Source organism: Homo sapiens, chromosome 10, assembly GCF_000001405.40.
Source record: "Homo sapiens chromosome 10, GRCh38.p14 Primary Assembly".
Lineage (NCBI taxonomy): Eukaryota > Metazoa > Chordata > Mammalia > Primates > Hominidae > Homo > Homo sapiens.
In genome coordinates this window covers 113,678,017-113,700,877 of record NC_000010.11, presented here as the reverse complement: position 1 = coordinate 113,700,877, position 22,861 = coordinate 113,678,017, and the positions used below count along the sequence as shown (strand labels likewise).

Genomic DNA, 22,861 nt, shown 5'->3' with positions numbered 1-22,861 from the left:
CAGTCACCTCCCACCGGGTCTCTCCCTCAACACGTAGGGATTATGGTGATTACAATTCAAGACGAGATTTAGGTGGGGACACAGAGCCAAACCATATCAGTCCTGTGAGAACAAAACAAACACTGATTCCAGGAGGTAAACATGGCATGGCTGGGCTTGGTACCCTTTCTTTCTTCCTTTCATCCTTCTTCCCTTCTACCCATCCATCCATTCATCTATCCAAGAATAAAAATTTAGAATTCAGAAACAAGATGACTGTCACAAGGATGCCTAATAACATATTCACTGAACTGAAAAATGGTATCAGACCTTTACTGACAGCAAACAAGTGTGGTATGGCTAACTGGTTTGACAGGGACTGGCTCTGTCCATTAGATTATAGAGCAGACAATTTTCATACATGAATGAGCTGCATTAGCAACTCCAACGTCTTGACAAAAATACATTTTAAAAAGCATATGGTTTAAAAGCATTTTATCAAAAAAAGGATACTGACAAATGTTTATTAATGCTTAATTATCTTTTCTGGAACATTTTGAGTTAAACAGACTGCCTCTAAATAAAAGAAGAGCAAATTTAATTTACAACTGTTTGAGAAGTTTGGGTACAAGTTTTTTGGTGTACTTCCCAGAAACTAAAAAAATTAAATACCTTTAAGGCGGAATGATAATTCCTTTTGTAAGTTAGATAATTGCCAATTCTTCCAACATAATTAAGGAAAGACCTAATCAAGTTGTCATTTTTTGGTCCAGAACTCAGAAGGAATTCAAAGAATTAAGTGACATGACTGTAACAAAACTCCTACCATCTCATGTATTTATTCATGATTTCTCAGTGCATCTTATCTCTAAAAATGAAAAATAGGAAAAAGAGGTAATATCAAATTCTTTCTTATTCCAGCAATAAGTATTATTTGTCCATTTCTTTAGAAACTAACTTATTAAGAGCCCCTTCATTCCATTATAAGTTGAAACTTCAATGCAATTTCTATTTAATAATTATTTTGATGAATGACAATTTAATAATATTAATGATATATTAACATTTATTTTTCAGATCAATTGTGAATTCATTAAAGCTGAAACAGTAACTTAGTCTAGGAGAACTTTCTTTTAATACTCATGATATCTAGAAAACTGTCTTAAAATTTATATGGATACACATATGCATACATGTATATGTTACATAGGTATATGATGTGGTGTGATCAATAAGACTTTCAAGCAACTAAATCTATTACATCAGAAGAAAATGTGGAGGAAAAGAGAATGAAAAAACCAAGTTTGAAGGGAAAAAAGACATAAAAGTTCTAGCTGTTACAGGAGAGCTGTTCATGTATTCTTTTAATGGATAAAGGTGGTTATAAAATCACTATGGATGTAGATTCCACTGGGTACATTTAAAGAAACGACTTTGAAATGTCAGTATTTACAACACACCATTTATTTTAATAATTTCTGGGAAGTACATCAAAAGGCTTTGCTGAGCTGGAGTCCTGTGTATTAGTCTGTTCTTAAACTGACTTACAAAATGATTATTAAATGATTCCCGTTTCTTTCACTTGTAGACAACTTGCTGAAGTCAGATACTCAAAAAGGGTTCGGAAGAGTGAAATATTATTACATTTTTTGCAACTATCTTGACAAAAATGTGTATGTTACCTTAAAATATACACACAGCTTTATATTATTTTGAGCACATATAAGCAAAGGCATTTGAAGACCATTGCTCTAAGGGGCTTTCCTTGGGGAGTAAGTTGGCCTGCACCGATTTCTCATGGTTTTGGAAAGTTCCAGGAGTCAGAACTGTATTTTCTGGTCATTTCATTGGATATTCTTGACTCTATCTGGCAAACAACGGAATCTGGGTCCACAGTGTTGGGGTTCTCCCACTTTTCCAAGTCCTATGTTGGATGATATGGCCCAAGGTCTGCTCTGGGGTGTTGGGAGCCTGGCTGCCCATCCCCACCAGCTCTTCCCCTCCTGAATACTGCCTGGGAGCACTCCCTAACCTCGGCCTTTATCCCTCTCTCTATCTTTCCCAGTAGGACTTGGCTTAGGGAATCCAAAGAAGTGTGATGCGTCTGACTCCTGCTGCCTTCTGTCTCTCAAGAAGTTCCACTCACTGTCCATCCATGATCAAGGTTAAGGGAGGGTTGGGGTTCCTCCATGTCCTTACAGCCCTACTTATATTTTTTATTAAAAAAAAAAACAACTTGTTTTTTTGAGACAGAGTCTCACTCTGTTGCCCAGGCTGGAGTGCAGTGGTGCAATCATGGCCCACTGCAGCCTCGATCTCCTGGGCTCAAGTGATCCTCCTGCCCCAGCTTCCCGAGTAGCCAGACTACCAGCACGCGCCACCACACCCAGCTAATTTTCTTATCTTTTTTTGTAGAGACGGGGCTCTCACTGTGTTGTCCAGTCTGGTCCCAAACTCCTGGGCTCAAGCGATCCTCCCTCCTTGGCCTCTCACAGTGCTGAGATTACAGGTGTAAGCCACTGCACCAAGCTAGCCCGACTTTTAAATGGGAAGCACACAGCAGAATCTTTAAGTGAGTGGTGCTGGCATTGTTTAGTTTCTCATCTTAGCTTTACCATTTACTAACTATCAGCAAAAAGGCAAGCTATTCAACCTCACAGCACCTCAGTTTCCCTACCTGACAAATGGTGATAACAATAAAACTAAATGTGCAATTATGTAGACTAAATGCAATAATACCAAGCAGGCATACAAGAGTTTAATCAATGAAGCTATTATATTATTAAATGCAAAATTTAGAATTTTAAAAGTGAGCTCAAGAAATGGAAAGGTAGGAACTAATGAACAGGATGCAATCTCCCTTCCATCAGTGCAATGCCTCAGGAGACACAGGGTGGGCGTGAGTCACCCTAAAACCTCCTGTCCCTCAGCCCTTGGATTCTGTGTTGTCAAACTTGGTCCCACTGGCAGCAGCAGCCCAGGCTCTGTTCTGAAGGTGCCTGCAAATCACCTCTAATGAGAACAGCCCCTGATACTTAGGAACTGCTACCAGACACTCAGCGGCTGAGCAGGAGACTCCCAGTGGTTGCTTTTGTCCATTCCTGGGCTTGGCCCACAGACAACAGGGTGCACATGAGGACACTAGTGTTGCTACGTACAGCTAGCAAGAACCTGTGCAAACCTCATGCTCAGCATGAACCTCCTTCCCTGAATGTCCCCCTCCCCATGGGTGGGTGGAGATGGCAGAGGCATGGCAGGCTGACGTGGTCCAGGGTCCCTGATTAAGCAAACTTACCTGAAGAGGGACGGTACAAACGAGGACCGGTCTGGCTTAGCATCCACTGAATCTTCATTTGCTGAATCCTCAACCCCCTGCTCTTCAATACAGCCCTGATCATCTGCCATCTGGGAAGAGAGAAAAAAAGCCACAAGGTCAGTGGCATCACTGATACTGTGATATTTTTAAATGACACTCATTAGGTGATACAGTTTTCCATTACGCCTAGGGGTGAGAAGTTTTGCATATTTAAGCTTCAGGGTTACCGCCCCATTAATGCATTCAAATATGTGAATATGCTTACATCCCAGAGACTACATATATGGCAACAAAGAAAACAAAGTCCTTGCCCTCAGGGAGCTTCTAATCCAGTAACCACAATTTTGTTGTATGTTCACTGCATACAAGAAACAGTGGAAGGTCTGTCAAGGTTTACAACAATGAAAATTTCCCCCTAAATTCCTAGCAGGTCACAAAGTGCTCATACGCAATTCAAAAGCAGCGACAACCTGGGGTATTAGGCTCTCTTTCTATGTCAGATGCTTTTACACGGTTCTACACAAAATAGATTTCCATCAAATTACATTCCAGCTTGAGAATTTTCAAGAGATCCCCATTAACTATAAGTACAAATCTAAAGCCATCTCCTTGGATTTTAAGGCCCTTTCTGATCTAGTCTGGGAATCAGCATACTATGGCCCAACACTTGTTTCAGTAAATAGAGTTGTACTAGAAAACAGCCATGTCCATTCATTTATGTATTGCCTATGGCTGTTTCCTCTCTACGAGCAGAGTTGAGTGATGGCCACAAAGCCAAAAATATTTACTACCTGGCCCTTTCCACCCCCACCCTCTGCCTTCATTTCCCGCATAGCCTTCGTATGTGGCTTGTTTATTTGCGCTCTGCTGTTTGGCTCCTATAAGACAATATAAGTTCATTATGGCAGAGGTAGCTGGAACACAGAAGGTGCTTACTAAAATATTTAATTGAATGGAAGGCTGGATGAAACACACACCCTAAGGGGAAAGAATTAGCTAAAGGTGATGTGGCTGGCCCAAGGCAGAGCCAGTATTAGAATCATTTTTTTTTTTTGTCTTTGAGATGGAGTTTTGCTCTTGTTGCCCAGGCTGGAGTGCAATGGTGTGATCTCCGCTCACTGCAGCCTCCGCCTCCCAGGTTCAAGTGATTCTCCTGCCTCAGCCTCCCGAGTAGCTGGGATTACAGGTGCCCACCACCACATCTGGCTAATTTTTTTTTGTATTTTTAGTAGAGACAGGGCCAGGCTGTTGGCCAGGCTGGTCTCAAACTCTGGCCTCCCAAAGTGCTGGGATTACAGGTGTGAGCCACTGCACCTGGCCAGTATTAGAATCACTTCTCCTAAATCAAGTCCCATTTTCTTCCCCATGAAGGGATCAGGGATCAACTTTCAGGAATAAAGAGAAACTTCAGACTCCAATTTCTACCTGGTCCCAACTGTTACTAGAAAAGGGTCCTGATGCAGACCCCAAGAGAGGGTTTGGACCTCGCGCAAGAAAGAATTAAGGGTGAGTCCATAGAGTAAAGTGAAAGCAAGTTTATTAATAAGGTAAAGGAATAAAAGAATGGCTACTCCATAGGCAGAGCAGCAGCTTAGGCTGCTGGACTAGGGATACTCATAGTTATTTCTTGATTATATGCTAAAACAAGGGGTGGACTATTCACAAGTTTTCCAAGGAAGGGGTGGGAAATTCCAGGAACTAAGGAAGTTCCCCTTTTTAGACCATATAGCGTAGCTTCCAGACATTGCTATAGCATTTGCAAACTGTCATGGTGCTGGGGGGAGTGTCTTTTAGCATGCTAATGGCTTATAATTAGTGTATAATGAGCAGTGAGGGTGACCAGAGGTCACTCTTGTCACCATCTTGGTTTTGCTGGGTTTTGGCTGGCTTCTTTACTGCAACCTGTTTTATCAACAAGGTCTTTATGACCTCTACCTTCTGCTAACCTCCTACCTCATCCTGTGACTAAGAATGCCTTAACCTCCTGGGAATGCAGCCCAGTAGATCTCAGTCTTATTTTACCCAGCCCCTATTCAATATGGAGTTGCTCCGGTTCAAATGCCTCTGATACAATCCCTGAGCAACTTCACTGAGCAGGCCGCGGTTGTCAGGTGCAGTTCTGTATTCCAGTTAGGGCTCACCCAGGGATGCTGTCATTAAGTTGGAAAACAAGAAGGCATCTACTTTACAGAATATTTTGTGCCGCTGAGCACAAGTAATAACTTTTGGAGGTGGGGAGAAGGAATGCAGTTCAGAAGGAGGTGTCCAAGGAGGCAAAGTGACAACCTAGTGGCCTTGCACTCCGAATGGCATTATGGTGTCACCTTCCAGCTTATCTGAGGGTGAACTGGGAAGAGGGGAGGGAGCTAAGAAGGGAAAGTCCTACTGCCAGGTCTCTACAATGACCATGGGAAGTCAGATGGTCACCTTGTTTCTCAACACATCATGAGCCTCCCTTCATCATCACCAATGTGTTTCTGGTTGGGAGGCAGATTTTTCAGATTAGAACCCAAAGTTTCTCAAAAATGGAGATAACTCACAGAGGAGATAAGCATAAGGCCACACATGCAGAAAATACCTGATAGCCTCTCTTGTCTCCTTTACATAGACTTAGTTACTTTCCAATATAGACTGTTATTAACACAATACACACTCACATATTTTCAAAACTAGTAAGTCAAAGTTTTAAAAAAATCCACCAGACAAAGACACTAACTTTGATATGTGGTGTTAATCAAGTTGGCCCTTTTGCTAAAGTTAATCTTAAAGGCTCAATCTAGGGTATATGATGACAACACAATATAACCACTATTTTTAAAAGAAAGAAGAAATGTCAGTGTGATAGCGGAATAGGAGGTTCCAGTTTTCATTCTTATATAGAAATACTGATTTTGGCAACTACACCTATGGACAAGAATACTTTTGTGAGGCCACAGGAGTCCACTGAGAGGTTTCAGCACACTGGTGGAGCAAAAAATCGAAGAGTGGATGCATCAAAGAGTATAATAAGAGCAGCTCACTTTACCCACATCACCCCTCCCCTAAGGTGGCACAGCTCAGTTCCAAGAGAGGTCCCTCCAGCTCACAATTCTCCCATGGGGGAAGTGAGAGTGAAGTGAGCACCCAGCTTTCCCAGCCCAAAAGGATGTTGTCTAGGAGACCCACTTCTGTTTCATCCCACCCAGAACACTGAGGGGAATAGTACGGCTGAATCGTCTGGGGCAGCCAGGAGCAAGGAGAAGCAGCAGCAGGAGTGCAAATAGTGTATGGTTATCAAAAGCCGGCTATAGATTCTGCTACCCAGCTCATGGATGCTACCCTAAGTCCCTCCCATAAACCCTGCAGGACAACTTGCCTATGTACCCCTTCAACCAGCTGATATGTACCTCAGTGCACAACAGTCTGTACACAACCACAGACAATGCTTGGATCTCAACAGCAGGTAGGGATATTAGCAGCCAGCTCAACTTTGATGGATTGAGAGAAGACATATAACTTTGAACATTTCAGGGTACTACCCTAAGGAATAAGCAGGAGGCTTTTAGCACAAGGTCTGCCTTTGCAGGACTGAGAGAACACATATAATCCCAAAGAGGGAACAAGAGGTGTGGAGCAGGTATATCTAGAGAAAAAGTGTGAGAGATCCCCAGAATCTCTAGCTAAGCTCACTGGCAAAGGTCTTTCTCTCCTAAAGCCAGTCAATAAAGACGGGAAGAGGTGACTGCTTCTTCAAGTGTGAACACACAATGCGAGGCTTCAAAGAACACAAATAATCAAGGAAATATGACACCACCAAAGGAACAAAATAAAGCTCCAGTGGCTGATCCCAAAGAAATGGAGATCTATGAATTACCTGACAAAGAATCCAAAATAATCATCTTAAAAAAGCCCAGTGAGGAACAAGAGAGCAGACAGACAAATAAATGAAATCAGAAAAACAACAAATAAACAAAATGAGAAGTTCAACAAAGAAATAAAAACCAATAAATGAACGAAACAGAAATTATGGAGCTGAAGAATACAATGTCTGAAATAAAAAATTCAATTGAGAGTTTCAACAGTAGACTTGATCAATCAGAAGAAAGAGTCAGTGAACTTGAAAACAGATCATTTGAAATTAATCAGTCAGAGGAACAAAAAGAAAAAGGAATGAAAAAGAGTGAAGAAACCTATGCAATTTATTGGACACCATCAAGTGAACCAATATATGCAGTATCGGTGTCTCAGAAGGAGCAAAGAGAAAAGGGTAGAAAGTTTATTTAAAGAAATTATGACAGAAAACTTCCCAAATCTGGAGAGGGAAAGGAACATCTAGATTCATGAAGCCCAAAGAACCCCAAACAGATTGGGCATAAATAGGTCTTCACTGAGACACATTACAATCACTGGTAAGAGTCAAAACAGATAAGGAGAAAATCTTGAAAGCAGCAAAAGAAAAGCAACTGATTTTTTTCCAAGATGGCAGATTGGAGGCATTGTTAGCATGCCTCTCTCACTTGGGAAGATAAAATAGTGTGTAGAGATTCATGCTGTGTACTTTTTTCCAAGAAGCAACACAGGAACTTAATAGGAAAACTGAAAGAAACCACAGAGCCTTTGAAAGAAGTGGTGGGCTGCAGCCTATACTGTGAACCAGGTAGAAAATTCTAAGTCCCTGGAGTGTGAGGGGGATAAACTGTCTCTGGGACATACATTCCCACTGGAGAACTTGGCAATCCAGGCCACAGGGAAAGGTCTTAACCCTACCCAGCACTGAAGCTGATTTAGTGAGCACTGGGGAATACATGAGAAGGAATAGCATTGGGATGTGCATTGCATGTGCTCTCGGTCTCCAGCAGGGATAGAAGGAAGTCATTCCAGGTCCTACCTCACAGGTGACCTTGTGGACATCTTCCAGCAAACTCAGTAGTCTGTCATAGGTTGAGAGAGGTTCCCAATTGACATTTGTGATATAATCTCGAGTGACGATGAACCCCCTTGGCCAGAACCGAGGGGTGAGTGGGCAGTGGGTTATACTCACGAGCACAAGAGCTGGGTACCTTTGTTTCTCAGGCAGACCAGAAGGGGCGTGGCCTGAAAGCCATGGTATGTCTCAACTGGGAAGGCTTATGGCCTGGGGCAGTTTTGAGTTCTGAGAGCAGAATGCCTGGAACCTAGCTAGCTGCTACTAGTGGAACACTACCGGTGTGAGACCTACCTTGCCAAGTGCATGGGAACTGGGCAGAGCTTACTGTCACCTGCTACTCCCCACTCCCTGTGTGGACTTTCTGTGCAGCACAGGCAGTTGCACTCCTCCCTGGAACATTACCCCTGCGGCAAGAGGACTGCCCTCTTATCCCCACTGGGGCCTCTGCTTGAGCCCACACATGGAGAGCCATAGCATGTACTTACGTGACCCAGCCCCCACCTGGCTTTGCCCCTTTACCCCCTACTCCATAGCTTAACACAAAGGACAGAAACTTTGGGAAGCTCTATGGCCTCACGCATTGTCTGAGACACCAGAGTACCTCACCTGGGTAACATAAGAAGCACAAATCCCACTGCTACCACCGCAGCTGGTGTTCTTTTCCAAGTGCCACTTCCTGCCTGGAGGCCAACCAACACAGTCCATTACAGCATCTGCTGGCAGAATAACATAGCACCCAGGAAGGAGAAAACTTACGCATGACCCCATCTGTCACCACTGCCTGCATTACCCCCAGCTAATCAGTAGGTCCTGAGTCTGTCCACATGACCAGTTCATTCCTACTATAGCTAGTGTGTGAGAAAGCCAACACACTAAGGCTATTTATAAGGAATCTCACAGAGTCTATGTCACTTCCCTGCCACCCCCATCAGAACAGATGCTGGTACCTACTGCTGGAAATTTGAGGGCAGGTCGCATCACTGGACCCCCTGCAGACATTCCCCGGCACTTTCCTGGAGTGTGGCAGCCCCACTGGGTGGCTAGACCCAGAGAAGCAGCAGCATTCACAACAGTCTGGCCCTCAGGGCTCCTACTCCTAGGGGAAGGGGGAGTGCACCACATCAAAGGAGTAACCCATGGGACAAAAGAATCCAGATGGCAAAGCTTGAGTCCCATAGCTTTCTGCTTGTGGGAAGTTTTTTTCAGCAGAGGCACAGGTGCAATGCTGAACTCAGAAGGGAAAGTCTGTGGCTCTACTACAACAGTCAGGCATCCCTGGTGCTTGTGACAGGTCTTGGAGAAGGAGACTTTTCCTCCTCACCCACCACTGCAGCTACAGCTTGGGCTTCTCCCACAAGAGCGTGGCATGGGTGCATCTGTAGACAGCCTTTCTAGAACACTTCAGGGTGACTGCATCCTCATAGGACAAGTGCCCTCAAGGTTCAGGCTTGCATGAGGGGTAATTATAATCCCTCTCTACATGGAACATCAGTATTTCTGCAGCTGGAAAGTGGTGTCTGCCTGGTTTGAATGGACAGAACACTGGGTCAGGAGTGTGAATGGGAGGCAGTTTTTTCTCCTGCTGGCCTGGGATGGGAGCTGGGGTAGCCCCTTCCTTCCCCCTGAAAAGACCTCAGTGTTTTTCAATGACAGCTTCTCCAGCCGCCTACGTCAAGGCTGGGACCTCTGCCCTCCATTAGGTATTGTATTTATCTACCTGTTTTAGGCACACCCAGTTTTTACCCAGGGACAACTCCCATACTGACTTGAAGCCTGAACTGTTCAACCCAGTAATACTGGAGGAATGAATGAATGAATGAATGAACAAATGAATAAATAAATAAGTGCACACCACTGGGGATGAGCTTCAGAGACTTTTGCCATTCCAACCCCACAAGAGACAGTCAACCTGCTCACACACGAAGCACATTGCTACTACATCTGAGAAAACCATCATACAAAGACTCTCTATAACCAAGGAACTTATACAGAGTCTTCACCGCCAAAAGCACCCAGAGCCAAATTAGGTTACAATAAGCTATAATCATTGAAGTCACATCCATAAGGTGGAAAAAAGGAAATTAGAAAGAAACGGTTGAATCAAAAATAAATTCAAAAATAATTAGAAGAAACAGTCTATCCAAATGAGAAGGAACCAGAAAAATAATTCTGGCAATATGACAAAACAGGGTTCTATAACACCCCCAAAAGATCACATTAGCTTTCCAGCAATGGATCCAAACTAAGATGAAATCTTGGAAATACCAAATAAAGAATCCAAATGGTTGATTATTAAGTTACCCAAGGAGATACAAGAAAAAGGTGAAAACCAATATAAAGAAAGTTTTTTAAAAATTCAGGATATGAATGAAAATTTTTCTAAAGAGATAGATACTTTAGAGGAAAAAAAAACAATCAGAACTTCTAGAAATGAAAGACACATTTAGGGAGTTACAAAACAAGTGGAAAGTTTTAACAACAGACTAGACCAAGTAGAATAAAGAATTTCAGAGCTCGAAGACAAGGCTTTTGAATAAACCCAGTCAGACAAAAATAAAGAAAAAATAACTAAAAGAAATGAACAAAGTCTCTAAGAAATATGAGATTATGTAAAATGGCCAAAGCTAAGAATCACTGGTGTTCCTGAGGGAGAAGAAAAAGTAAAAATTTTGGAAAATTTATTTGAGGGAATAATTGAGGAAGACTTCCCTAGCCTTGCCAGAGATTTAGACATCCAAATACAAGAAGGTCAAAGCCCTTCGGGGAGATTCATGGCAAAATGGACATCTCCAAGGCATACAGTCAACAGGCTATTACTAATGTCAACATGAAGGAAAGAATTCTAAGAGCAGTAAGACAGAAGTATCAGATAACCTGCAAAGGAAAAGCTATCAGACTAACAGTAGACTTCTCAGCAGAAACCTTATAAGCCAGAAAGGATTGGGGCCCTATTTTTAGCCTCCTTAAACAGAATAACTCTCAGCCAAAAACGTTGTATACAGCAAAACTAAGTTTCATAAATGAAGGGGATATAGTCTTTCTCAGACAAGCACATGCTGAAGGAATTTGCCACTACCAGATCAGCCCGACAAGAAATGCTAAAAGGAATTCTAAACGCTGAAATAAAAGGTCAATATGCAACAGAATAGAACCTCTCAAAAACACAAAACTCACAGGGCTTATAAAACAATAACACAATAAAAAAAACAAAGTATCCAGGTAACAATCAACATGATGATTGGGTCACACCTCAATATTAATGTTGAATGTACATGGCCTAATGCTCCACTTAAAAGATACAGATTGGCAGAATGGATTAAAAAAAAAATCACAAACCAAATGTCTGCTGTCTTCAAGAAGCTGAGCTAATTAATACAAAGGATTCTTATAGAATCAAGGTAAAGGGGTGGAAAAAGATACTCCACACAAATAGAAACCGAAAGCAAGCAGAAGTTGCTACTCTTATATCAGATAAAACAAACTTTAAAGAAAAACAGTTTACAAACAAAAAGACAAAGAAAGTATGATAAAAGGATTGACCCAACAGGAAGATATTATAACCCTAAATATATATGCACATAACTCTGAAGCTCCTAGATTCATAAAACAATTACCACTAGACCTAAGACAAGAGATAGACAGCAACATAATGATATTGGAGAACTTCAATACTCCACTGACAGCACTAGACAGATCACTGAGGCAGAAAGTCAACACAGAAACACTGAATTTAAACTACACTCCAGAACAAATGGACCTAACGGATAATTATAGAACATTCTACCCAAGAACTGCAGAATATACATTCTTCTCATCAGCATATGGAACATTCTCTAAGACAGACCATGTGATAGGCCACAAAATAAGTCTCAATTAATTTTTAAAAATGAAAATCATATCAAGTATCTTCTCAGACTACACCAGAATCAAACTAGAAATCGACTCCAAAAGAAACCCTCAAAACTATATAAAAACAAGGAAATTAAACAGTCTGCTCCTGACTGATTTTTGGGTTAACAATGAAATCAAGATAGAAATTTGAAAATTCTTCAAAACGAATGATAACAGTGACACACATTATCAAAACCTCTGGGATACAACAGAAGCAGTGCTAAGAGGAAAGTTTGTGGTGCTAAATATCTACATCAAAAAGTCTGAAAGATGACAAATTGACAACCTAAAGTCACACCTCCTGGAACTAGAGAAGCAAGAACAAACCAAACCCAAAGCTAGCAGAAGAAAATAACAAAGATCAAGGCAGAATAAATGAAATTGAAACAAAAAATGCAAAAGATCAATGAAACAAAAAGTTGCTTCCTTGAAAAGATAAACTCAGGGGACCATTAGCTAGATTTACCAATAAAAGAAGAGAGAACATTCAAATAAGCTAAATCAGAAATGAAGATGGAGGGCCAGGCACAGTGGCTCACACCCGTAATCCCAGCACTTTGGGAGGCTGAGGCGGGTGGATCATAGGTCAAGAGATTGAGACCATCCTGGCCAACATGGTGAAACCCTGTCTCTACTAAAAATACAAAAATTAGCTAGGCATGGTGGCACACGGCTGTAGTCCCAGCTCAGGAGGCTGAGGCAGGAGAATCGCTTGAACCCGGGAGGTGGAGGTTGCAGTGAGCCAAGATCGCGCCACTGCACTCCAGCCTGGGTGACAGAGCGGGACTCTGTCTCAAAAAGAAAGAAAAGAAAGAAAGAAAGGAAGGAAGGAAGGAAGGAAGGAAGGAAGGAAGGAAGGAAGGAAGGAAAGAAGGAAGGAAAGAAAGAAAGAAAGGAAAGAAAGAAAGAAAGAAAGAAAGAAAGAAAGAAAGAAAGAAAAGAAAGAAAGGAAAGAAAGAAAGAAAGAAAGAAAGAAAGAAAGAAAGAAAGAGAAATGAAGATGGAGACATTACAATAATGTCTTTGTAGTAACTTGGATGGAGCTGGAGGCCATTATTCTAAGTGAAGTAAGTCAGGAATGGAAAACCAAATATCTATGTTTTCACTTGTAAGTGGAAGCTAAGCTATGAGCATTCAAAGGCATTCAGATTGGTATAATGGATACTGGAGACTCAGAAGAGGGGAGAGTGGGAGGAGGATGTGGGATTTTTAAAAACTACATATTGGGTGCAATGTACACTACTTGGGTTACAGGTGCACTAAAATCTCAGACTTCACCACTACACAATTAATCCATGTAACCAAAATCTACTTGTACTCCAAAAGCTATTGATATATACGTGTGTGTATGTACATGTATATATGTACGTACATATATATGTACGTACATGTATACATGTACATACATATATATGTACGTACATGTATACATGTACATACACACACACACATGCACACACACACACGGAAAAGCACCTCATTACATACAAAGAAATGTCCATAAGACCATCTGGTGGATTTCTCACCAGAAACCTTGCAGGCCTGGAAAGAGTGGGATAATATAATCAAAGTGCTAAAAGAAAGAAACTGCCAACCACAAATATTATATCCAGCAAAGCTGTCCTTCAGAAGAAAAGATAAATACTTTTCTGAGACACATGAAAATGACAGTGTTCATCACTACTAGACCTGCCTTACAAGAAATGCTAAAAGGAATACTTCAGGTTGAAATGAAAGGACATTCTTTAAACTCACTGGTAAAAGTAAGTGTATAGTCAAATCCAGAATATGTGAATAATTTACAGGTGGTCTTTGACTTACAATGGTTTTACTTAAGATCTTTTGTCTTTCCAATGCTGCAAAAGCAAAACACATCATGTAGAAACCATACTTCAAGTAACCATACACCCATCCTGTTTTTACTTTTAGTACAGTATTGATAAATTATATGAGATATTCAACACTTTATTATTAAATAAGCTTTGTATTAGATTCTCATGCCCAGCTGTAGGCTAATGTGATATAAGCATGTTTAAGACAGGCTAGGCTAAGCTCTGAAATTCAATAGATTAGTTGCATTAAAGGCATTTTTAGCTTATGATATTTTCAACTTACATTGGGTTTATAGGGATGTAAACCCATCATAGGTTGAGGAGCATCTGTATTAGCTGTGCATAAATCACTTTGAACTCTACTAAAGTTAAAAGACTAAAGTATTAAAAACAACTCTAGCTTCAATAACCATAGCTATATAGTTGTTAATAGATATACAATATAAAGAAATGTAAACTGTGACATCAATAACATAAAACATGGAAGGAGAGAATAAAACTGCAGAATTTTTGAATGTGCGTGAAGTTAAGTTGTTGCTATGGTCTGAATGTTTACGTACCCCCCAAAATTTACACATTGAAATCTATTCACCAATGTCATAGTATTAGGAGGTGGGGCATTTGGGGTATGATTAGGTCAAAAGGGTAAAGCTCCATAAATGGGATTAGCACTTTTATATAAAGAGAGCTGCCCTGCCCTATCTACCATGTGATAAGATATAATAAATGAACAAGGAAATGAAACTTCGCTATACACTGATGCTGTTAGCACTTTGATCTTCAACATGCCAGCCTCCAGAACTACAAGAAATATATTTCTGTTGTTTATAAGCTACCCAGTTTAGGGTATTTTGTAATAGCATCCCAAATGGACTAAGTTGTTATCAACTTAGAATAGAACGTTATAAGATGTTTTGTGTAAGCCTCATGGTAATAACAAAGCAAAAATCTGTAGTAGATATGCAAAATATATACAGAAAAGAAACAAAGCATATCACTACAAAAAATGATCAAATCACATGGGAGGGAAGCAAGAGAGGAAGAGAGAAACAGATGAACTATAAAACAGTCAGAAAACAATCACAAAATGGCAACAGTGAGCCCTTTACCTATCAATAATTTCTTTAAATGTAAATGGATTAAGTTATCCAATCAAAATACATACAGTGACTAAATAGAGTAAAAACATAAGATCCAACTACATGATATTTACAAGAGACTCACTTTAGATTTAAGGACACACATAGGCTAAAAGTGAAGGGATATAAAAAGATAATCCATATGAATGGTAACCAAAAGAGAGCAGGGGGGGCTATACTTATATCAGACAAAATAGACTAAAGTAAAAAACTTTCGAGATAAAGAAGGTCATTATATTATAACTATAGATATCAATTTACCAAAGACATAACAACTGTAAATATATATGCATCAACATTAGCACACCTAAATATATAAAACAAGTATTAATAGAACTACAGAAAGAAATAGCAATAGATAAGAGTAAGGGACTTCAAAACCTCACTTGCAACTATGGATATTTCATCCAAATGGAAAATCAATTAGGAAACAGTGGATTTGAACAACACTAGTCCAAATGGACCTAACAGACATATATACAACATTTCATCCAACAGCAGCAAAATACACATTCTTCTCAAGTGTACACAACATTCTCCAAGATGGATCATATGCTAGGCTACAAAACAAGTCTTAATTAATTTAGGAGGATTAAAGTCATATCATGTATCTTTTCTGACCACAAATGGTATGAAAGTAGAAATCAGTAACAGGAGAGAAATTAGAGAATTCACAAATATGTGGAAATTAAGCAACACACTGCTCTTCTTTGAGCCAGAACAACAAAACTACAAAACACTGATGAAAGAAATTAGACATAAATAAATGGAAAGATATTCCATGTTCATAGATTGGAAGAATTAATATGTTAAAATGTCCATGCTGCTCAAATTGATCACTGAACAGATTCAATGCAATCCCTATCTAAATTCCAATGGCATTTTCACAGACATATAAAAAAATTATAAAATTCATATGTAGCTACGAAAGACCCTAAATAGCCAAAGCAAACTTGAGCAAGAGCAAAGCTAGAGGCATCACATTTCCTCACTTCAAATTATATTACAAAGCTATAGTAATCAAAACCGTATGATACTGGCATAAAGCAGACACATGGAGCAACGGAACAGAATAGAGAGTCTGGAAATAAACCCACACATTACAGTCAACTAATTTTTGACAAGGGTGCCAAAAATATTCAATATGGAAAGGATAGTCTCTTCAAGAAATGGTGTTGGGAAAATTGGATATCCACATGCAAAAGAATAAAACTAGACTCTTATTTCACACCATACAAAAAAATCAACTCAAAATGGATTAAAGACTTCAACATAAGACCTGAGACCTTAAAACTGCTAGAAGAAAACATAGGGAGAAAGCTCTTTGACATTGGTCTTGACAATGAGTTTTTGCATATGATGCTAATGCACAGGCAACAAAGGCAAAAATAAACAAGTGGGATTACACCAAACTAAAAAGCTCTGCATAGCAAGGAAACAATACAAAAAACGAAAAAGCAACCTATGGAATGGGAGAAAATATTTACAAACCATATATCTGAAAAGGGGTTAATATCCAAAATACACAAGGAACTCACACAACAGAATAGCAAAAAAAAAAAAAAAAAAAAAAAATCTAATTAAAAAAATGGGCAAAGAACCCGAATAGACATTTCTCTAAAGACATACAAATGGGCAACAGGTATATGAAAAGGTGCTCAATGTTCCTAATCATCAGGGAAATGCAAAGCAAAACCACAATAAGATATCATCTCGCAACTGTTAGGATAGCTATTTTATATGTGTGTGTGTGTGTGTGTATACACATACACATATGCATATATAATGTGTATGTGTATGTATATATGTGTGTGTGTATAAAGGTAAGTGTTAGCAAGGATGTGAAAACAAGGGAACTCTTCTATACTGTTGGTGGGAATATAAATTGGTACAGCCATTATGGAAAACTGTCTAGAGGTTTCTCAAAAAATTGAAACTAGAAATCGCATATGATCCAATAATCTCACTTCTGGCTATATATCTAGAGAAACTGAAATCAGGATCTCAAAAAGATACCTGCACTCCCACATTCACTGTAACATTATGGAAACAATCTAAATGTCCATCAATGAATGAATAGATAAAGAATATGTGGTATACACACACAATGGAATATTATTCTGCCATAAAAAAAGAAGGAAATCCTGCCATCTGTGACAAGATGGATGGACCTAAGGAACATTACGCTAAGTGAGATAAGCCAGACACAGAAAGACAATTACTGTATGATCTCACATCTATGTGGAATCTAACAGAGTCAAACTCATACAAGTGGAGAATAGAATGGAGGTTGTCAGAGGTTGGGGGTGGGGGCAGCGAGGAAGAAATGGGGAAGTGATAGTCAAAGGGTACACAGTTTCAGTTGTGCAAGATGAATAAATTCTAGAGATCTCCTATATAGCATAGTGCCCATAGCTAACAATACTATATGGTATACTTACAATTTGCTAAAAGGGTAGATCTTATGGTGAATGTTCTTACCACACAAAAAATACTAGTTTTGGCCAGGCATGGTGGCTCACACCTGTGATCCCAGCACTTTGGGAGGCTGAGGCAGGCGGATCACAAGGTCAAGAGATTGAGACTATCCTGGCCAACATGGTGAAACCCCGTCTCTACTAAAAATACAAAAATTAGCTGGGCATGGTGGTGCATGCCTGTAGTCGCAGCTATTTGGGAGGCTGAGGCAGGGGAATCGCTTGAACCCGGGAGGCAGAAGTTGCAGTTAGCCGAGATTGCGCCACTGCACTCCAGCCTGGTGACACATTGAGACTCCACCTCAAAAAATAGTAGTAATAAAAATAATAGTAATAATAGCATTAAACGGTGTGGGAGGAAACTTTAGGAGGTGGTAGCTTTGTTGAGGTGGTGATGATTTCATGGGTGTATCTATGCTTATCTCCAAACTTGGTAGGTATGCATGCATTAACTATGCCTAGCTTTTTATATTTCAACTATACCTTAATAAAGTGGTTTTGAAAAAGGGGAAGACCCTAAGCAAAATGGCTCCTAAGAAAGCCAAGCCTTTGTTTTGATATTATTGGGACTGCTGAGACTTTTGGAGACTCTTCTTCATTCATTCAATGGATATTTACTAGAAGTTAGGAATTAGGGATATACTTGTGAGCAAATTGACCTGGTCCTGCCATGTTGAGAAACAGACATGAAAAAAAGGATGGCGTCTAGTTTGAAATGCAACTGTGGTGTATGCCTTGAGGGTGAACAATCTGTAGCCATACCAGGGAAACTCAAGAGCCTCACAGAAATTAGGGAAACTCCTCAGGGGAGGAAATGTCTGACCTGAGAACTGAAAAGGGGGAAGCAGAGAGGGTAGGTGGGAGCGATGCAGGCAGAGAGAACTGTGCACTCATTAAACATTTGAAATGTTCCACCAAAGGATGGGTATAGCTTAAACTCATCCTTCTCAGACACTAAGAGAGGGCTTTGGACTTAGCTACTGAGATGTAAAATTCAGGCTGATTTCTGTGGCTCAATGATGGGACGCTTTCTAGAACTTTCCCTCCAAACAGTAGGCCATTAGGTCTTCTGTCTGAAACCTACCGCATCCTTCTGGGTTGATGCTGAACACTGTCTGCAGTGACAGAAAGTGTCTCTTCTAACAATCCAAGTCAGCAGTGGTGGGACTTGGCTCTTTCAAATCTGTAAAGCTAAACAATTAGTTACTTTCTTATTCCTATGAGACTGGGCTTGATTTTTGGAACCTCCAAAGAGCGATCATAGCCCAGGGTGGTAACCAAGTGGGGAATGCCTGATCTCAGACACGTCATTTCAGTCAAACCAAGACCTGGTTTTGACCTCTTATTTCCTCCTTTCATCATCACAGTGCACCAAGAAAATCCAGACCTATCTCAGTTCTGCCAAGCTGTCCGTAGAGGGTACACATGGCATTATTTTCTCATATCTGTCCCCTTTTTAAGGTCCAGGCTGCAAAGAGCAGTCATTTGAGGGAGATTGCTTATCCCACTGTTAAATATGTCTAACTTCTCTTTAAATAAATTAATACATGAGACACTCAAAGCACTAACAATGATAGGCACATAGTAAGTCTTGGTTAGTCACTGTAACTCTTATTCTTACTATTAGCCACCAAGATTGTCACTGTTTGCAGACTGAGACCTCATCTTAATCATTTTTTTAATCATAGAAAAATGTCAGGTACATGGCAGGCACCAAATCCATTTTTCTTTATAAATCTAACTTAAATGTATTTTCAAATCCTTCAGCCCCTTCAATAAACTGCTGTCCAAACAGCAGAACCAAGGAGACCCAAGAGGGTGGTTGAGAACCCTGAGATCTGGGGCTGAATCAGTTCTTCCACATATTAGCCATGGGACCTCAGAAAAAGTGCTCGACCTCTCTAAGCCTCAGTTTCCTCATCTGTAAAATGGGAAAACAACAGTACCTATGTCACAGGTGGTTGGGAGGATGAATGAAACAATGCATGTAAAATGCTAGGTGGCACAATCTAAATAGTCAAGAAATATTCCCATTATCACCACTGCCCACGAGACTAAGATAATATGCAACTGTCAACCTTTGCCGATATTTAAAAACCACATCCATATTTTAAAAAGATTTTGTAGAGACTGAAAAAAAGTTCCTGTAGTGATTATTTCTAAACATGTTGAACAGGAGCCCACATGTTGGGGCAACTGGTACACAGCTGGGTAAGAAGTCACTGCCCAGCTATTGTCTGAACTTTTTACTTTCATGAAGGGGGAAATGGACTGCAGCTGCTTCCCCTGAAAAGTGACATCATACAATTTGTGACTCACTTCTTGCCCAAATAAAAATCTTCCTAAAGGGCACACAGAGAAGACCTGAAAACCTCCCCCTCTTGCCTCTAGCAGCTGGGAGGGGGAAAGGGAGGCTCTGCTGGGCACTCAAGCGCTCCGCTGCGTCACCCAAGGCTCATGGCACTGCTAGACCAGGGCCTTTACTTTGCTATTGCAGAAACTTTAGCTTCTTCAGAGACGTTAAGTAACCTGTCCAAAGCCACACAGTTTACAGGTGGCAGAAGGTGGACTGTGAATCTAGGCAATGGCGGTACCAAGGGTGAAGGTCAGGCCGGCGAGACCCAAAAGGAGGAAATAGCCTGTAAGTTGAGACAACAGGGAGGGCCACGTCAACTAGCCCAGGAGCCCAGAAGTTCAAGAATAAAGATCTGGAAATGATACACCCACAATCACCCACAAGTAATTTTACTGCTCCATAAACCGCAAAGCTGTCACCTGGAGCCTAACACTCCACACGTCTAAATGTCTCCTGCCTGGTTTCCACCTCCTCAAGGTCCCTCTAAGAGCCCTGCAGCAAGGACGCTCAGCTCCAGTGTACTCAGACTTGACAGAGCCACTGCCGCGAAACGCGTACCATAATCAACTCTGTCCATCCCCGCCAACAGTCTGCGGGGATCACCGTGGTTCCCATTTAACAGAGAGAGGGTTGAGGTCCCACCGCCGGCAGGCAAGGGGTGGGGACCGGAACGCAGGCAAAGGAGCCCTCGCTGTTAGCCGCTGTGCCAGATCACGAGCCCTCCTCTCCTAAATCTCGAATAGTACGAGGTGTCCCCTAGCCCCCCGGCTAGGAGGGAAGGGAGGACAAGCTGAGCAAGGCAAGCGATGGAGAGAGCGGAACGGGCCCTCTTCCCAAAGTTTCAGCGCAGGCCGTCGGGGCCACTCAGTCCCACTCAACCAGGCTCCCCTAGACCACGCTGGGGGCGCAGGGGGGAACTAGGAAGCCGGCAGGAAGGAGGGAGGCAAGGCGCGCACGGCCGGCGGGCTGGAGAGGCGCCGGCCGAGGTGGGGGCTGCAGTTACCGTTCCCACGGCGGTAGGGCGGCTGGGACTGGCACAGTCTCTCTCCGTCGCTCCGCAGCAAGGGTCTGGGGCCCCTTTAGCGAAAGCGAAACTAAAAGTCTCGGCGCTGCGGAGGGAGGAGCCGCCCTGGGTAGGGCCGGGCGGGGCTTGCACCGCCCCTGGCTCGGGGTAGTGCGCTCCGCAGGGGTGGAAGAGCCCAAAGCGACCCGTGTCCCCGCACGCATAGTCCCTGGAGGGCGCTCTCTGCAAAGCTGGCCGCGCGCTCTGCCAAGTTGGCCCCTCGCTCTACAAAGTTGAGCCCGCGCGCGGGAGAACGCGCACAGCAAAGTTTGCAGTTTCCCGGGACAGCCGAGCCGCCGCGGGTTGTTCCGGGAAAAAAACAAATCTGCCAAACTGGCCGCGCTCCAAGTGACCCAAAGAGCGCAGATTTCGCGGCGGCGCTCAGTGATGGGGCGCTCGTGTGGTCACCTCCACTTCCCCGCCCCCAGTGTACACCTCGACCTGGGCCTTCACATCAACTCGGAGACCCCTTTCCCATAGCCAGAGGCTCTCCCCTAGCGAAACCTGGATCCCAGCTGGAACTGCTGGCGTCCCCCTGGGGGACTCCACGCCTACATTAGCATGCGTACCCCACAAGGCTGATCCGCTTCGGGCCCGCTGTGGCATCCACTGTGGTCTCCTAGACGTTGCTTTGCGGGGGGCGCCCTCCTGCGCGCGTGGGCGTAGGACGCTCCCTCAGCTTTGAAGGAAGTACCCACCCAGCAGCCCAGCTTGCTGGTGGAGATGCTGCTCCTGGATCTTTCGGGAAATATTTGTTGTGCGCCCCCGTGTGTCAGGGACTGGGTATGCGGCCGGGAGTCAGTCAAACACGGGAGAGACTGAGCACTTCCACGGATTCTAGTTCACCCCAACCCCACAGCATACGCACACACACACACACACACACACACACACACGGACACACGGATTCCAGTTCACCCTGACCCCACAAAACACACACACACACACACGGATTCCAGTTATCCAGTTCACCCTGACCAAACACACACACACACGGATTCCCGTTCACCCTGACCCCACAAAAGACATACACAGGCATTCCAGTTCACCCTGACCCCACAAAAGACATACACAGGCATTCCAGTTCACCCTGACCCCACAACACACACACACACGCATTCCAGTTTACCCTGACCCCACAACACACACACACACGGATTCAAGTTCACCCCGACCCAACACACCCACACACAAACACACAGATTCTAGTTCATGAAACCCACCACACACACGGATTCATACACACACACGCACCTAGTTCACCCTGACCCCACAACACACACACACACACACACACACACACACACACACACACGTCTTTCTTCACCCTGGCTCAGGGAAGCAACTAAACTCAATCACACTGAGGTGTAAAATATCTGAGAAGAAATTGTAGTTTTATTCATATCAGAGACACAGTATTTACTTTTAGGAACCACCAAATCCTTGCGTGAATGGAGTACATGCTTAGTGGTCGGATACCAGGCAAGAACGCCATCTTCTCTTTCTGTTTGCTTGCTTTCCCGTGGGCCTGAGACTTCAGTATTTGTCGCTCAAATCTCTCCAGGTGAGGATGCTTCCTTGGTTTGAAAAAAAAAGACTGACCCCTGGCAAGTGTAAGGGAATAATTATAATTGATTAACTTACGGGAAAATCCTGAATCCCTGAATATTTTTAACCAGCAGTGACACAATTTCTAATGTGGCTGCCCTAGTCTTTTTTTAATACCCATGTTCCCAAAATGTTGGAGGTAAAGTAAGCCATTTAGACGCTAAGATAATTTGCTTTGTAAAGAAATTCAAGGCCAGGCGCGGTGGCTTACGTCTGTAATCTCAGCACTTTGGAAGGCCGAGGCGGGCGTATCACGAGGTCAGAAAATCAAGACCATCCTGGCTAACACGGTGA

The 22,861-nt window shown here is 42.3% G+C and overlaps 1 protein-coding gene across 9 annotated transcripts in view, besides 2 other annotated features; it reads right to left on the bottom strand.

The window, feature by feature from the left end:
* The window catches only part of CASP7 (caspase 7), a 51,716-nt gene extending 30,032 nt beyond the window's left edge, over window positions 1–21,684 (bottom strand). For 3 of the 9 annotated variants that reach the window (NM_001320911.2, NM_001267056.2, NM_033340.4), the window contains exons 1-2: window positions 21,529–21,684; window positions 3,275–3,384 (exon numbers count right to left, since the gene is read on the bottom strand). In NM_001320911.2, the coding sequence (NP_001307840.1) occupies window positions 3,275–3,377 (103 nt within the window). In that variant the 5' untranslated portion in view covers window positions 3,378–3,384; window positions 21,529–21,684. Of the gene's footprint in view, window positions 1–3,274; window positions 3,385–8,807; window positions 8,915–20,454; window positions 21,210–21,528 lie in introns of those variants that run through there. The other 6 variants (NM_033338.6, NM_033339.5, NM_001267057.1 and 3 more) reach the window with 6 other exon arrangements.
* Window positions 18,343–18,472: an enhancer, noted in NCBI's record as "active region_4071". NCBI's record gives its function as "activates an Ori minimal core promoter by ATAC-STARR-seq in GM12878 lymphoblastoid cells {active_cell/tissue: GM12878}" and the evidence as "EXISTENCE:reporter gene assay evidence [ECO:0000049][PMID:35858748]".
* Window positions 20,091–20,380: an enhancer, noted in NCBI's record as "active region_4070". NCBI's record gives its function as "activates an Ori minimal core promoter by ATAC-STARR-seq in GM12878 lymphoblastoid cells {active_cell/tissue: GM12878}" and the evidence as "EXISTENCE:reporter gene assay evidence [ECO:0000049][PMID:35858748]".
* Window positions 21,685–22,861: the final 1,177 nt, after the last annotated feature.